The sequence below is a fragment of the Homo sapiens genome, chromosome 1 (genome assembly GCF_000001405.40).
Source record: "Homo sapiens chromosome 1, GRCh38.p14 Primary Assembly".
Classification (NCBI taxonomy): Eukaryota; Metazoa; Chordata; class Mammalia; order Primates; family Hominidae; genus Homo; species Homo sapiens.
The window spans coordinates 145624327-145641357 of record NC_000001.11 but is presented as its reverse complement, the minus strand read 5'-3'; the positions used below and the strand labels follow the sequence as shown (position 1 = coordinate 145641357).

Genomic DNA, 17031 nt, shown 5'->3' with positions numbered 1-17031 from the left:
CCCACCTCCAATTCCTTAATTCTGGCAACCACGAATCTGTTCTCCATTTCTGTAATTTTATCATTTCAAAAATGTATATATAACTAGAATCATACGGTATATATTCTTTGGGGATTCTTTTTCACTCAGCGTAATTTTCATAAACATTCAAGTACAGTTTTTTTGTGTGAATATAAATCTTCATTTCTCTGGATAAATGCCCAGGAGTGCAATTGTTGGGGTGTGGTAACGGCATGTTTAGCTTTTAAAGAAAGAGCTAAACTGTGTTCCAGAGGGACTGTACCATTCTACATGGATGCCAGCAACGTATGAGTGATCCAGTTGCTCTGCATTCTTATTAGTATTTGGTGTTGTCACTAATTTTTATTTTAGCTATTCTGATAGGTGTGTAGTGATTATCTCGATGTAGTTTTAATGGCATGTCCATAATGGCTAACAATGTTGAACACCTTTTCATGTGGTTATGTGCCATTTGCATATCCTCTACAATAAAATGTTCATCATTTTTGCTTATTTTCTAACTGCATTTTTTTTAAATGTAAGCTTTGAATGTTTTTTATTCTAGATACTAGTGCTTTCTCAAATAAGTGGCTTGCAAATATTTTCTCCCAGTGGGTAGCTTATCTTTTCATCCTCTTAACAGTATTTTTTTTTTTTTTTTTAAGTAAGGAGTCTTGCTCTGTCACCCAGGCTAGAGTACAGTGGCTCCATCTTGGCTCACTGCAACCTCTGCCTCCCAGGTTCAAGCCATTTTCCTGCCTCAGCCTCCCGAGTAGTTGGGATTACAGGTGCCCGCCACCACGCCTGGCTAATTATTGTATTTTTAGTAGAGACGGGGTTTCACCATCTTGGCCAGGCTGGTCATGAACTCCTGACCTTGTGATCCACCCACCCTGGCCTCCCAAAGTGCTGGGATTACAGGCGTGAGCCACCGCACCGGGCCTTAACAGTCTTTTACAGAGCGAAAGTGTTAAATTTTGATGGAGCCCAATTTATCCATTTTTTCCTTTCATGGATTTTATTTTTGGTATCAAGTAAAGAACTTTTTGTGTAGCCCTTGATTCCAAAGATTCTTTTTTTTTTTTCTGAAAGTTTTATAGTTTTACATTTTAGTCTATTATCTGTTTTAATTTTTTTTTTTGAGACGGAGTCTCGCTCTGTTGCCCAGGCTGGAGGGCAATGGCGGATCTCGGCTCACTGCAACCTCCACCTCCTGGGTTCAGCAATTCTCCTGCCTCAGCCTCTCCAGTAGCTGGGATTACAGGTGCCCGCCACCACACCGGGCTAATTTTTTGTATTTTTAGTAGAGACGGGGTTTCACCATGTTCGCCGGTCTAGTCTTGAACTCCTGACCTTAAGTGATCCGTCCGCCTTGGCTTCCCAAAGTGCTGGGATTACAGGCATGAGCCACCACGCCCGGCGTGTTTTAATTTTATATAAGGTGTAAGACTTAGATTTAGATTCATTTTTTAAACCTATGGACGCCTAATTGCTCTAGCACCATTTGGTGAAAGGTTATCTTTCCTCCACTGAACTGCTTTTGCATCTTTGTCAAAAATTAGCTGGGTGTATTTGTGTCAGTATTTCTTTTCTTTTCTTTTTTTTTTTTTTGAGACAGAGTTTTGCTCTGTCACCCAGGCTGGAGGGCAGGGGAGCAATCTCAGCTCACTGCAACCTCTGCCTCCTGGATTCAAACAATTCTTCTGTCTCAACCTCCCAAGTAGCTGGGACTACAGGCGCATGCCACCATGTCCAGCTAATTTTTGTATTTTTAGTAGAGACGGGGTTTCGCCATATTGGTCAGGATGGTCTCAAACTCCTGACCTCAGGTGATCTACCTGCCTCAGCCTCCCAAAGTGCTGGGATTACAGACGTGAGCCACTGTGCCTGGCCATGTGTCGGTATTTCTGGGTTCTCTTTTCTGTTCCAGTGATCTATGTCTACCAGTACCACAGTCTTGATTACTGTAGCTATATAATATGTTTAAAGATCAGGTAGAGGAATTCCTCTCATACTGTTCTTTTTAAAAATTGTATTAACTATTCTAGTTATTTTGCCTTTCTGTACAAATTTTAGAATAATTTTGTGTATATCTACAAATAAATCTTGCTGGGATTTTGAAATGAATAACATTAAATTTGTATACCAATTTGGGGAGAATTAACATCATTACTATTCAAGTCTTCCAATCTATTAACATGGTTTATTTATATCTTATTTGATTTTTTTCATTAGTTTTATAATTTTCAGCAAACAAGTCCTATATACATGTTTTGTTAGACTTCTATGTAAGTATTTCATTTTGTGAGTGATTGTAAGTAGTGTATTTAAACATTTGATGTTCATATGTCCGTTGCTAGCTTATAGAAAGACAATTGATTTAAAAAAATTGGATTTTCAAGATGGGGTCTTGTTACTTTGCTCTCAGGCTGCACTCAAACTCCTGGGCTCAAACAATCCTCTCGCTTTAGCCTCTTGAGTAGCTGGTCAAGCGCATTCACCACTGCTCCTGGCTACAACTGATTTTTGTATGTTCATTTGGTATTCTACAATGTTGTTGAATAACCATTACTTTTTTTTTCCCATTGTTGCCCTGTATGTATCATTTTCCCCTTGTTGCTTTCAAGATTTTCTCTTTACTTTTGCCTTTTAGCAGTTTCACTATATATACACATAGGTGTAGTTTTCTTATGTTTTGGGCTGGTATTTCTTTCAATGCTTTTTCTGCCCCTTTCCTTTTCTTTAGAACTCCAATCACAAGAATGTTGGACTGCTTGATATTGTCTCCTACTGAGACTTTTGTTGAGTTTTCTTCAATATTTTTTTAAAAAAATATTTACTATTTTTTTCTTCTTTTTGAGACAGAGTCTCGCTCTGTCACCTGGGGTGGGGTGCAGAGGCGTGACTGCAGCTCACTGCAACTTCCGCCTCCCAGGTTCAAGCCATTCTCCTGCCTCCATCTCCTGAGTAGCTGGGACTACAGGTTCCCACCACCACGCCCAGCTAATTTTTTTTGTATTTTTGGTAGAGACGGGGTTTCGCCATGTTGGCCAGGCCTCAAGTGATCCGCCTGCCTTGGCCTCCCAAAGTGCTGGGATTACCTGGCCATTTTTCTTCAATCTTTTATCTATTCTTCAGATTAAATAATTTCTATTACTCTATCTCAATTTTTATTTTTATTTTATGTTTTGAGACAGTCTCGCTCTGTCACCCAAGCTGGAGTGCAGTGGCATGATCTCAGCTCACTACAACCTTGCCTCCTGGGTTCAAGTGATTCTCCTACCTCAGCTTCCCAAGTAGCTGGCACTACAGGCACGTGAAAGCATGGCCAGCTAAGTTTTGTATTTTTGGTAGAGACAGGGTTTCACTATGTTGGCCAGGCTGGTCTCTAACTCCTGATCTCAGGTGTCCAACCACCTCGGCCTCCCAAAGTGCTGGGATTACAGGCGTGAGCCACCATGCCCAGCCTGAATTTTTATGGATCTGATTCTTCTGTCATCTCAATTCTCCTGTTAAGCCCACCTAGTAAAATTTTTATTTCTGTTACTGTAGTTTTCAGTCTTTGGATTTCTATTTTGTTGTTTTTTAAAAGTTTCCATTTCTTTGTTGGGATTCTCTCTTTTCACTTGTATCATGCTTTCCTTCACTTTTTTGAATATATTTGTAATGGTTACTTTCAAGTCTTTGTTAAATGTGTAATCTGGATCCACTTGGAGTTAGTATCTATTGGCTGCTTTTTATCTTGAACATTGGTCACATCGTCTTGTTTCTTTACATGTCTAGCAAGTTTTGGTTGAAGGTAATATGTTGTAGTGACTTTGGAATCTGTTTTGTTTTTCTGAGAATTGTTAATTTTTTTGGTACTAGTAAGCAGTTAATTTACTTAAACTGTGAAATCTGTCATACCTGCAGCAGCTAATGTTTCTGCTCAGTTTCTTGGTTTCTAGCTTCTCCTTTTTAGCCTAACTCCCTGATATTCTCTGCTGAGCTTGAGCTTGTGTAGGGTAGTGGTAGTCTGGACAAATTCTATAGTCATATTTTAGGGCTTATCCTCTCTGTGGATCTTTTGCTTCTAGGGATCTCTCCTAAATTTTCAACTGCTTTGCCAGTCCTGAGATCTACCCTCTGACACCTCAAGCCAGAAAAGCTTTCACTTTCTGTCATCCAAACTGTGTGTTCAACCTGCACATAGCTCAGAAAATGCACTCAATCAAAGGCACAGCAACCTTGCAAATCGCACCAAGAAGCAGTTCAGTATATCAAGCATAGACTCTCTTCCAGTTTCTGCCTATTTTTCTCAGGCTCTTTGGTGTTTACCGTGGAAATACATTATTTAATGATGACACAGAGATTTGGGAAGGGTTTATACTGAGATTTTGGATATTAGTCCTTCTGCATTTCCCTCATTTCCAAAATTTCCCCTTTAAATGTTCAGTTACTCAGCTGATTTAAACTCTTACCAATCTGTACACTTGAGTGGGTGCTGGCAGGGGGGGTGGTGGCTAAGGGGCACTTCCAGGCAAGAAAGCTATCAACTTGCAATAGTTACCTGATGCTCTTCTCAAATTTCTACCTGCCTCTGCTCATTTTCCAGTAACTTCAAATACTTGCTTTTAATATTTTTTCCAGTTTTTATGATTTTCTGTAGAAAGAATTGCTTAAATTCTTTCCACTGTCATTTCTGGAAGTTTCCTCTATTGAGAATGGCTGTGGGTATTGCTGAAATTTCACTAGTGAATATATTTCTTCCTCCTATCTCTACAAAATTTCAAAGAGGTCCTAGAAAACTAATTCAAGGTAGAGGTTAACATTTTTTCCTTCACTGTTCCAAACAGGAAGACGTATGCCTCTTTCCTCCTCCCATTTTAAACCATTAACTTTTTTGTACATAACAAATGTTACTTTTCTTGTATGTCATCTCACTATGGCCCTCTACTGTTAAGGTGAAAGATGGTTTTCTGGTCACTACTCCTCCCCAACTATGAATGTTTGCAAAAACAGTTTTTCTTTTTTATTAAAAAAATTTTATTTTGTAAAACCACTTGTAAACAACAAAAACAGTTTTTCTATATTGTGGTAAATGGCAAGGGCATTATATGAATCCCAAGGGCCCCAGTGTTGTCATGTTTGCTGTCTATCTGCTCTGTTAGTTCCACTGGGTAAAGGACTGTGGTAACGGGGTCACGTTGGGAGGCTGATTCTTCTGTGAGCCACTCAAATTAATAAAACTTACTGTCGGACCACAAACCATTCCTGATCCTGACCAGACAATGCATTATAGGGGAAATGGGCTATAGTATGTATAGATCAGAGTCAATTCCTTAGCACTATTAGTATGAAATGGCTTAAAAGTATGTATACACACTTGACAAGGGTCATGACTTCACTTTTTTTTTTTTTGAGACAGAGTCTCGTTCTGCCCCCAGGCTGGAGTGCAGTGGTGTAATCTCGGCTCACTGCAACCTCTGCCTCCCGGGTTCAAGCGATTTTCCTGCCTCAGCCTCCCAAGTAGCTGGGATTACAGGCATGCACCACTATGCCCAGATAATTTTTGTATTTTTACTAGAGATGGGGTTTTGCCATGTTGGCCAGGCTGGTCTTGAACTCATGACCTCAGCCTCTCAAAGCGTTAGGGTTACAGGCATGAGTACCCGGTCATGACTTCACTTTTATATATTCATTTCTTTATATGAATAAAAGAAATACAGTGAGAAAGAGAATAGCCTTGGGAATCAAAATAGTATTGTTTACATAAATCTTTCACTTTTGAATAATCTTGCTCTACTTTTTAAAATCTGCATTTATATACACTCATGTAAAATAAACAATAAATGTAAATAAAATAAATTATACACGTGTCTACCTTCAATAGCCTAGTAAAGACATGCAGAAATAGAGACAAATAATTAGTCAGTGAACCTGAGCCTTCATCATTCTTTTTTTTTCTTTTTTGAGACGGAGTCTCACTCCATCACCCAGGCTGGAGTGCAGTGGCGCGATCTGGGCTTACCGCAAGCTCCGCCTCCTGGGTTCACACCATTCTCCTGCCTCAGCCTCCCGAGTAGCTGGGACTACAGGCGCCCACCACCACGCCCGGCTACTTTTTTGTATCTTTAGTAGAGATGGGGTTTCACCGTATTAGCCAGGATGGTCTTGATCTCCTGACCTTGTGATCTGCCCGACTCGGCCTCCCAAAGTGCTGGGATTACAGGCGTGAGCCACTGCTCCTGGCCTTTATGTCTAATGTTATCTCTTACATTAAGGCTTCTTTAACTTGACTATGGGTCTTACTACAGAAAAGTGTTGAAGGAGGAAATATGAAATGTGAAAATACTCATGCAATTCAAAACCTGTTACCATTTACTTATGGGTAATAATAACTTTAATAAAGAGAGTAGACTAATAAGCTTCATGAAGGTAAGAAATGATTATCTTGTTCATCATTCTATCCCTAGCATCTAGTACAGTGCCTGGCGTAAACTAGGTTTTCTAAAATTATTAAGTGAATGAATCTATGAATGAATAAATGAAGGCAAAGCATGAAAAGCAAATGATTGTACTGTAGAGACTATTAATAATTTCAGTAGTTGTCCTTAGCTATATGTGGGTCATTGTTCTAAGGGCTCTAACTTGTTTTTCTAAGTCTTAACTCATTATTATTACCTCTATTTTACAAATGAGGCACAAAGACATAAAGTAACTAGTTCAAGGTCACACCATTAAGTTTTAGATCAAGGATTCAAATTCATACACAGTCTGATTTCAGAGCCTATGCTTTTATACACTGTGATATAGATTTCTATGAAATCCCACCTTGAAAATACACATTTTAAAAGTACTTTTTAAATAACAAAGATGATATAGAGGACTTAAATGATTTTAAGTAGTTGGAACGAAGGAAGTTGAGATCTAAGTCAGATATGTAAAAGATTGTAAAAAATTAAGGAAAATAGACTTAAAAAAATTCAGGACAATAAGGCTGGGCATGGTGGCTCACGCCTGTAATCCCAGCACTTTGGGAGGCCAAGGTGGGCAGATCACTTGAGGTCAGGAGTTTGAGACCAGCCTGGTCCAACATGGTGAAACCCCGTCTCTACCAAAAATACAAAAATAAGCTGGGTGTGGTGGTGCGCACCTATAATCCCAGATACTCGGGAGGCTGAGGCAGGAGAATTGCTTAAACCTGGGAGGTGGAGGCTGCAGTGAGCTGAAATCACGTCACTGCACTCCAGCCTGGGCAACAGAGTGAGACTCCGTCTTAAAAAAAAAAAAAAAACACAATAGACAATATTCCATTCTTTGAATACAAAAATTATACACCAGTCCATGAGCATGGGATATCTTTCCATTTATTTGTGTAGACTTCAATTTCTTCTATTAATGTTGTATAGTTTTCAGTGTCCAGGTCTTTCTTCCCCCTTGGTCAAATTTATCCCTAAGTATTTTTTCTTGTAGCTATTTTAAGTGGGATGGTTCTCTTGATTTCATTTTTGGAATGTTCATTGAACATTAGTATTGTTAAAACATCCATACTACCTAAAGCAATCTATAGATTTAATGTAATTCCTATCAAAATTCCAACGTCATTTTTCATAGAAATAGAAAAAATAATCCTAAAATACACATGGAACCACAAAAAACTGAATTGCCAAGGCAATCATGAATAAAAGAACAAAGCTGGAGGCATCATACTATCTTATTTCATATTATACTACAAAGCAATAGTAATTAAAACAGCATGATACAAGCATAAGCACAAACTCATTGACCAAGGGAACAGAATAAAGAACCCAGAAATAAACCCACACATGTATGGTCAATTGATTTTTGACAAGGGTGCCACATGTACACACTGCGAAAAGGACGGTCTTTTCACTAAACGGTGATGGGAAAACTGAATATCCATCTGCAGAAGAATGAATTTGGACCCTTCTCTCACTTAATATATAAAGATTAACTCAAAATGGACTAAAGACTTAAGCCTGGAAACTATAAAACTAGAAGAAAACAGGGAAAAACTACACAAATCATGCTCTGAGCAATAACTTTTTAGATTTAACCCCCAAAGTGCAGGCAATTAAAGCAAAAATAGACAAATGGGATTACATCAAAATAAAAAGCTTCTGCACAACAAAGAAAACAATTAACAGAGTGAAGAGACAACCTATGGACTGGGAGAAAATATCTGCAAGCCATATGTCTGATAAGGGGTTAGTATACAAAATACATAAGGACCTCAAACAATTCTACAGAAAGAAAACAAATAACCTGATTTTTAAATGGGCAAGGAACCTGAATAGACATTTCTCAAAAGAAGGCATACACATGACCAACAGATATATCAAACAATGTTTAACATACTAGCCATTAAGGAATTGCAAACTAAGACACAATGAGATATCACCTCATACCTGTCAGAATGACTACTATCAAAGGGGCAAAAGATAAAGAACATTGGTGTGGATGCTGAGAAAAGGAAACCCTATTACATTGTTGGTGGAAATATAAATTAGCACAACCCTATGGAAAATAGTGTGGAGGTTCCTAAAAAAACTGAAAATGGAATTGCCATATGATCCAGCAATCCCACTTCTTAGTATTTACCCAAAAGATCTGAAATCAGTAAAATGTCAAAGAGATATCTGTACACCTATGTTCACTGCAGTATTATTTACAATAGCCAAGTTATGGTATCAATCTATATGTGCAGCAACAGAAAAATGGATAAAAAAGATATGGCATACATGTACAACAGAATACTATTCAGCCTTAAGGAAGGAAATTCTTTCATTTGTGACAACTTGAATGTAACTGGAGAGCACTATGCTAGCAAAATGAGTTGGACACAGAAAGACAAATACTGCATGTTCTCACTTATATGTGGAATCTAAAACAGTGAACTCAACAGAAGCAGAGGGTAGAATGATGGTTACCAGAGGCTGGATGGGTGGGAGGAATGGAGAGATGATGGTCAAAGGGTACAAAGCTTCAGTTAGACAAGGAGGAATAAGGTTTTTTTTCTTTGCAACATACTGTACAGCATGATGAATATAATAAATAATAATGTATTGCACATTTCAAAATCACTGAGAGTAAATTTCAAATGTTTTCACCACAAAAAAATAAACATGTGAGGTGATAGATATGTTAATTAGCTTGATTTAATTATTCCACTTTGTATGCCACAAATACATACAACCATAATTTGTCAATTTACAATTTAAAAAATTAAACAAAAAAATTCTAATAATTTATCTAAGGAGAATGATCTAAATTCAAGAAATGAGATTGAATTTTCTTTCACACAAAACACTAAATCTTTTTAAAAAAATTTTTATATTTTTAATTTTATTGTTATTTTAAAGGGGTGGGGTCTCACTATGTTACCCAGGCTAGTCTCGAACTTCTGGGCTCAAATGATCCCCCCGTCGTGGCCTCCCAAAGTGCTGGGATCACAGGTGTGAGCCACTGTGTCCAGCCAACACTAAATCTGGTACTTTACCTTATAGTAAAAATGAATAAGATAAAATTCCCTGCCAGCACCAATTCACAGTCAAATTTTCTTGTTGAGAAATTGTAAGAGTCCAAATGTATTACAGTGTTGATATCTTACCTTTTCTTTTTGCTTATGATCATATCCATGGTTTGCAGCAGTCGCCGTTCCAGGGCTAGAATATCCGTGTCAGTCACATTCCTACAAAAAGCACAAACTGCTAGCAAAATGTTTTGGGGTCCCACTCTTGGGCATGATACAGGGTATCTGGAGACAAACATAGACTTCAACTGTTACCTACTACTTTTTTCTAGAAAATAGTAAAATGACCATAATAAACTAAAATGCCTTTGCTCTCATTTCTTATAGCTAATCCTCTGGGATCTCAGGGAAATGGAATTCACCCAGCTCTCTTACAGTTTTTCTTAGCTTTGATCCAGTTACATTTATATATATATATAAAATATATATTTAAATATTTTTATTTTATTTTTTATTATACTTTAAGTTCTCGGATACATGTGTAGAACATGCAGGTTTGTTACATAGGTATACACGTGCCATGATGGTTTGCTGCACCCATCAACCCGTCATTTATTTATGAAAGAGTCTAGCTCTGTCGCCGAGGCTGGAGTGCAGTGGCATGATCTCAGCTCAGTGACATTTAGGATGTATGTTTAAGCACACTTTTAACTTGGCATTGTCTTCTACTGTTCTGTTAATATCTAGGAGGGGAGCTGAACTGCTGAAGTTGGAGTTGGTTTATACTGCTGGTCACTAGAAATGTGCCTTTAAAAAAGTGGGAGGGGAGTGTCAGATTGAAATTTGCCATTTAAAAAATAAATGAATGTAGGACAAATAATAAAGGCAAGCCGTACAAGTGATAATACTTATTTAGAAAGATTTCCAGGTCAATGCCCACAGGGACAGAGGAAGAGAAGAATAAAAAGACAGTGTCATAGATCTAATATATAATCTTAAAGATGGTGGCATAATATGACATATGTATTCAAGAAGTAATGGGGCAAAAAAGAAAGGATGCAAAGCGCTCTGTTACCTGAGGAAGTAAGACATGTAAGTGTATGGGCAGTTGACAGCACCAAATCCAGAAAGAAGAGCCATGAGAGTCACTCCAATCACACCAACCCGGCTGATGAGCTGTTCTATGGATAAGATCCCTAAAAACATCAAGGCACATTAATGCCAGGTAATATAGACAAAATGGCTCTCATCTGTACTGCAAAAGGAAACATTATTTAAAACATTAACCATTACACATAACTAACTCATACAAGCCAACTTTTAATTATTAATGTGTAGATGATTTATAATAAATATACTAAAAGTTTACTGATTTTCCTCCTGTCCCATATGCTTCAGAGTGATCTCTTTTATTGGGTGATAGCAGTAAAATAATAACAACAATAATTATAAATAACAATCATTGACTGTTTACTCTTGGTAGCATGAATGCTAACAAAGCAAAGTACTTTTAGTAAAAGCATCGGCCAAAAAAAAAAAAACTAAGAAAGTAAATCTGCTGGAAAAGTATAAATAGCAGGAACTACTTTGTGCTAATTATCTTTGATATATATGTATTTCCCCTAAGGTGATACTCTTTTGCTTTTGTCTTATTCTTTTTTGCATCCAATAAACACAGAATTCATCTAATAAAAGGACTAAACTTATAGATGAATGAGTAATTCAAAGGCAAACACATCAGTTTCGGATTATAAATTGTATCCTAATTATCAATTGTTTCATATCACGTGAGAATGCTGAAAATCAACTTAGCAGTTAAAATAAATACTGCTGGTTGATGTATTTGGGATAAATGAGAGAAAGCAATGCTGAAGAATAACTCAGTAAGTTTGGCATTGCAGAAAAAGAATGGTTTTAACTGGTTTTCACTTTCTATTTCTAGGATAGAATTCACTACAGCCATCCACTCCTATGGTCAAATGCCAGAGCTATAATTCAGGAATTCTGTCAGCTTCAAAACTGAAAATTCCAATATTCCTTTTCTGACTACTGGCCTCCATTCCTAGTCTTTCTATTTCCACTACACTCGTTTTAGAGGTCAGTGCAACCTCTGGTCTTCTGCTTCTCCATTCTTCACCTAGCTTGGACTCCAGGCTTGCTGGCTTCAAATTCTCTCACCAGGAGCCTCAATCTCCTACTATCTTCCTTCTGAAGCGCTAATCCTACAAATTCCCAACTCTGGATCAGTCTAACACTCTGCCTTCCCTGTGCCCATGTTTTGCTGCCTCAAATTGCTAGAATGCGTACTGATTTTGGAGCCATTACAAATGTATGGTCTCCAGTCCTAAGAGAGCTCTCACACTATTGACTAATCCTTATCTTGCCCTTGGTCAGCCATCTCTCTCCATTGTCTTCGGCAGTTACTCTTTATTTTTCCTACCTTTGTCCTTCTCCTTTGCCAATGTCCTTATTATAAAAGACATAGCTATTAGCCATAAACTACCTTCACTCTACACTATGGTCATGAATTTTCTCCTGGTTGCAAAATTCAACATTTTCCAATCTTTGTTTTATGGGCTGTTTTATAACATTGAATATACATCTGCAATCATCCTCCCAACTTGTCTCCCTTAGAACAAAGTAGCATCCAAAGCTGACTTCTCCACTTGTGCTTCTGATCTTCTCTGGGCCCTGGGAACTGTCTCATCCTTATATGTGAGTTCTGGGATATTGCTAGTGATAATCTTGGTGCTATTTGTTTTTGGTTTTCTGCCAGGGGGGTAAGCAAAGCCAGCTTGCCCCTACGCCACCATCTTGGAACTAGCAGTCACCATACTTTTGATTGTATTCAATCCCTTCCACCTCTTTCAGAGTCTTGTTCCATCATCTGTCTCCTCTCTCTTGTATATTCAATATTTCCTTCTTTGCTAGTTCTTTCTCTTTAGTTTCAATTCTCTTTTCTAAGAGAAATTCTGTTCTTGGCTTCGAGTTTACGTCTAGTTACCAACCCCCATCTATTTCCTCCTTAATAGCCAGGCTTCTTAAAAGAAGTTTATAGTTATTGTCACCTTTTCTTCACCTCCAGTTCATTCCTTAACTGACTGCAATCCAGCTTTCTTCCCATTCTTCTTTATTGAATGAAATTACTTTCACTAGTAATTGTAATGGCAATAGGTAATATTCACCAAGCACCTGCTATGACTAGGCACTGTTCTAAGCATTTCACATGTTCTAATTCATTTAACCCTCATAACAATCCTATGAGGTAGATATTATTGAAAACCTAATTTTACAGATGAAGAAATGGAGGCACAGAGAGGTTAAGTAACTTAGTTAAGGCCACACAGATAAAAGGGGCAGAGTCAGGATTCAAGTGCAGTCTAGCTCCAGAGTCTGGGCTTTAACCACTACGACACTATGGTAATAAGTTTTCCCCTGGTTGCAAAATTCAACATTTTCCAATCCTTGTTTCATTGGCTCTTTTATGACATTGAATCATTTTTGTTTAAAATTATTTTATCTTCTTGGCTTCCACAACACCATTTCCCTAGGTTTTCCCTTTTACTTCTCTAATTGCTTTTTCTTGGTCACTTCTTGCTCTGTCTGGACCAGAGTTCTCACTTTCATTTCAGTATACACATTTTTTGCTTAGGTGATCTCACCAATTTCCCCAGCTTCACCTAATGGCATTTAGTTGATGATTTCTAGTTGTTTAGATTCCTGGAGTCATCTCTATGAGGACTGATACATGTACACCTTTTCCCTAAGCTCCTGATTTGTACATCCAATTGCTTATTTAACATCACCTGGATATGCATAAGTAACTCAAATTCAGCATATACCAAACTAAAATTATCTTTCCCCTCAACTTGTTCCTTCCTCTGCATTACCTGTCTTAGAAAATGACATAATCACCCTAACAATAAAATCTATACACTATACGATTACTTTCCATTCTATCTCTTGCCTTTCCTTGAATACACCAAGGTCTTTCTGCCTCAGGGCTTTACATGATGTCTCCTGTGCCTTCTTGCTGGGTCTTCCTTTGGTCTTGTCCTTTAAATCTCAGCTTAAATATCCCTGTCTCAGAAAGGGTGGATCTAACTGTTTGCACTACATTATCGGCATTTTTCTCTATCACAGCAACCTGTTCACTCCTTGATGACAATGATCACAATTGGCAATTATTTATTTATATATTTACCTCTTTATTGTCTAGTTCCACCCACAAGACTATCAATTTCAGGGGGGCAGAAACCAAGTTTGTTTCGTTTGTGGTTTATTTCCAGTGCTTAATTTATATAAAGTGGATGCTCAATAAATATTTGTGTAATGCTGAATGAACGAATAAATCCTCACCTAAATTCTGTTATTCTACTTGCCGTATACCTCTTGAATTTGCAACCCCTTTACAAGAAGACATCATTTCTTATTGATCTTTGTTTTCCTTACTGCTTGGCACATATGAGGTGTTCAACAAATGTTTGTTGACTATAATATCACTCAGTAACATAAAAAATCCAAGAGATTAATATGGGCTATTAAATTTGAAAAACTGAAAAAATTCCCCCTCTACCTTTATTCCTTTTAACATGGTGTCTTTGTCCTTTTATTACATATCTTTTTCTGGTTTAAAGTACTTTGTAGATACTATTTACTTAATCTCAGCATTTCTATGAAGTAGGAGTCAGTCATCATTATCCCCATTTAGCAGTTAATACATGGAAAGTCAGATGAATAAGGAGACTAGCAGAAGATCATCTCACCTTTGCCACCTGCTCACACAGATTCCTTACAGTCTTTTGTAATCTCTCTTACTCTTTCCCACTAAGGACATTCCAAGGTTGGTTCAGACACCGCACAAGAAGTACTTTTACAGATTATCTTTTTTTCATTTTACATAAGGATTGGTCTTATCTTTTTTTTTTTTTTTGTAGAGTCTCGCTCTGTCGCCCAGGCTGGAGGGGAGTGGCACGATCTCGGCTCACTGCAACCTCAGCCTCCTGGGTTTAAGCAATTCTTGTGTCTCCGGCCTCCGGGGAGTAGCTGGGATTACAGGCATGCACCACCATGCCTGGCTAATTTTTCTATTTTTAGTACAGATGGGGTTTTGCCATGTTGGCCAGGCTGGTCTCTAACTCCTGGCCTCAAGTGATATCCCTGCCTTGGCCTCCCAAAGTGCTGGGATTATAGGGGTGAGCCAACCTGCCCAGCCCATTTTTTTGTGGTCACCACAGCAATAAACAACCATACTGGTTGTTGGGACAGTCCTGGGAAAGCTCTAAGAAGGCAGTGTAAGGCTGGTTGCTTCTCAGCTACTACCTAAACTTTTCTTCCTCCTTACTTATCTTAAAGGGTTAAATAAATTAAGATACCTGAACATTCAGGCATAAAACTGTAATGCCTATTGGAGTACAATGGAAAGAATAAAACTGAAACTATCTCCCTAGCTTTCTCCCTCAGTGTCCTTTTCAGGGTAATCCCATAGAATTTAGAAAAAGGGGTGGATGAAAGGACAATAGATACAATGGCCTTCATCTTCCCTCTGGTGCGGCCTGGCTGCACTGGTCATGTGAGCTGAATGCACACAGGAGAAAGCTGGAGAAAGGTGTCAGAGTCGGGTCTTTGTAGTGCATGTGAGACTGTATTTGCCCTGTCAGCAGCCCTGGGGGCCTTTTCTAACTCTTCTCTCTGACTTCTACCGTCACAGATAAATGTGTCTGTCTGTGGGTTTCTTTGAAATAGGTTTATATGAGAACTATACTACCAGGACTCTTTAGTGCAAGTCGTTCCCTTTGTTGACCATTGACATAGGCATGCTGATCACATTAGCATTTCCTAAATTCCTATCCAGAGTGTTAAAGTAGTAAACTCATCTACCACTTTGGAGAGACTCAATTTTCTTCCATCCACTGATTCAAAGAACACGTATTAAACACTTGTTATGTGTCAGTTTCCACACTAGGCACTGGGGATACAAAGACAAATAACATGGAGTTTTCTGACCTCAGGGAGCCCATAGGTTGATGAGGAAGTTAGAAAAGGAAACATGAAATTTTAAGTTTTATAGATGATATAGATACCTTGAGATGGTAGCAATTAATATCTCCTAATGATGGCCAGGAAAATCTTCCTAAAGGAATTGACAAGAGTTGAATCTAGAAAGGATAAATAGGCATTTTCTAGGTAGACAGGGTTGGTGAAGGATTGTCCAGGCTGATAGAACAGCTCTAGAAACTTGAGGCTGGGTGTGGTGGCTCATACTTGTAATCCCAGCACTTTGGGAAGCTGAGGTGGGTTGATCCCCTGAGCTCAGGAGTTCGAGACCATCCTGAGCAACGTGGAGAAACCCCATCTCTATGAAAAAATACCAAAATTAGCCGGGTATGGTGGCATGCGCCCATAGTCCCCGTTACTCAGGAGGCTGAGGTAGGAGGATCACTTGAGCCTGGGAGTCGGAGGTTGCAGTGAGCCAAGATCATGCCACTGCACTCCAGCCTGGGTGAGAGTGAGACCTGTCTCAAAAAGAAAAAAAAAAAGAAACTTGAAATAATTTCACAGGACTGGAGAATGCAACATGTATAGAGAGCAGCAGCCAGGTCATGAAAGGTCTCATACGCCACCTAAGAGTTTGAATGCTTTTGGCAGGCTGGTGTTATGTTAAGTTTTCCGGCCTTTAACGTTATTTGAAATTTTGAAAGTTATTCTTATTTTAAAAATACACAACTATTTATGGTATTGCATATGCTTTTCAAAACTGCATATCTCCTCTGATCTTACTGCAGGAGAGTCTCATAACCTCTCTCCCGAAATTCCTGCTATAGGCAATCAGTATACATGGAAGGGTGTGTGGGAGGTATGGCAGATTCTATAATAGACACTGGCTCATTCAACATTAATTCCAATATCCTTTTCCAGCATTTGTTTTGGTACTACAGAGTTTAGAAAGCCAAAAGCCCCTTCTCAGACTTCCTTGAGGCCAAGGTTTTAAATATTACCTAGGTTTCACCAAAAAACCCGGCCCATGTGAGGCCTCAGATGCAGAAATGAACAATGTAGGGGTGGTGATAGCACTTAGGAGCTCAAACAGCTGGGACTGAGGTCCCTGATGTCATAGACCCTGAGTGGCAGGTGATAACTTCAGTGAGGTTTTCTAGTTTAGTATTGTGGCATAGTTGGGTATTTCTCTTCACTATATAGCAGTTAAGCTTTGCATCCCTACTTTCCTAGAAAGTCTATAAATTGCCTGATACTGTATAATTAATCACTTTCTGCTTTAAATTAGTTACAGTAGATTCTGTTTTCTGCAATAAGAAGCCTAGTAATAGGTACGGCAGGATGGTGAATAAAGAGGTATATATATATAGATTTTTTTAAAAAGGTTCCAGCATGAAACCTGTAGTATATTTATTACAGATGGGCTCTCTAATCTTTTTAGATAGATTCTCTAATCTTTTTAGATAGATTCATACATACTTCTGAAATAGTTCTGGAAGGACTTGTTAGCTGAGGTACTTTTGTTCATTGTTTTTAGCTTAAAAATTAGGGCTCTGCCA

At 38.3% G+C, this 17031-nt stretch overlaps 1 protein-coding gene across 10 annotated transcripts in view, besides 1 other annotated feature; it reads right to left on the bottom strand.

The window, feature by feature from the left end:
- Window positions 1-17031, bottom strand: part of GPR89A (G protein-coupled receptor 89A) — a 62663-nt gene that overhangs the window by 29293 nt on the left and 16339 nt on the right. For all 10 annotated transcript variants that reach the window (NR_036541.2, XR_007063066.1, NM_001097613.3 and 7 more), the window contains 2 exons: window positions 10551-10671; window positions 9614-9694 (listed from right to left, as the gene is read on the bottom strand). Coding sequence is in view for 8 of the 10 variants with exons in the window: in NM_001097613.3 (NP_001091082.2) it covers window positions 9614-9694; window positions 10551-10671 (202 nt within the window). In the remaining 2 variants the exon portion in view is untranslated. The remainder of the gene's footprint in view (window positions 1-9613; window positions 9695-10550; window positions 10672-17031) is intronic.
- Window positions 15867-16365: an enhancer, noted in NCBI's record as "H3K4me1 hESC enhancer chr1:145809563-145810063 (GRCh37/hg19 assembly coordinates)". NCBI's record gives its function as "activates a minimal SCP1, AML or CMV promoter by ChIP-STARR-seq in primed H9 embryonic stem cells {active_cell/tissue: H9 hESC(primed)}" and the evidence as "EXISTENCE:reporter gene assay evidence [ECO:0000049][PMID:30033119]".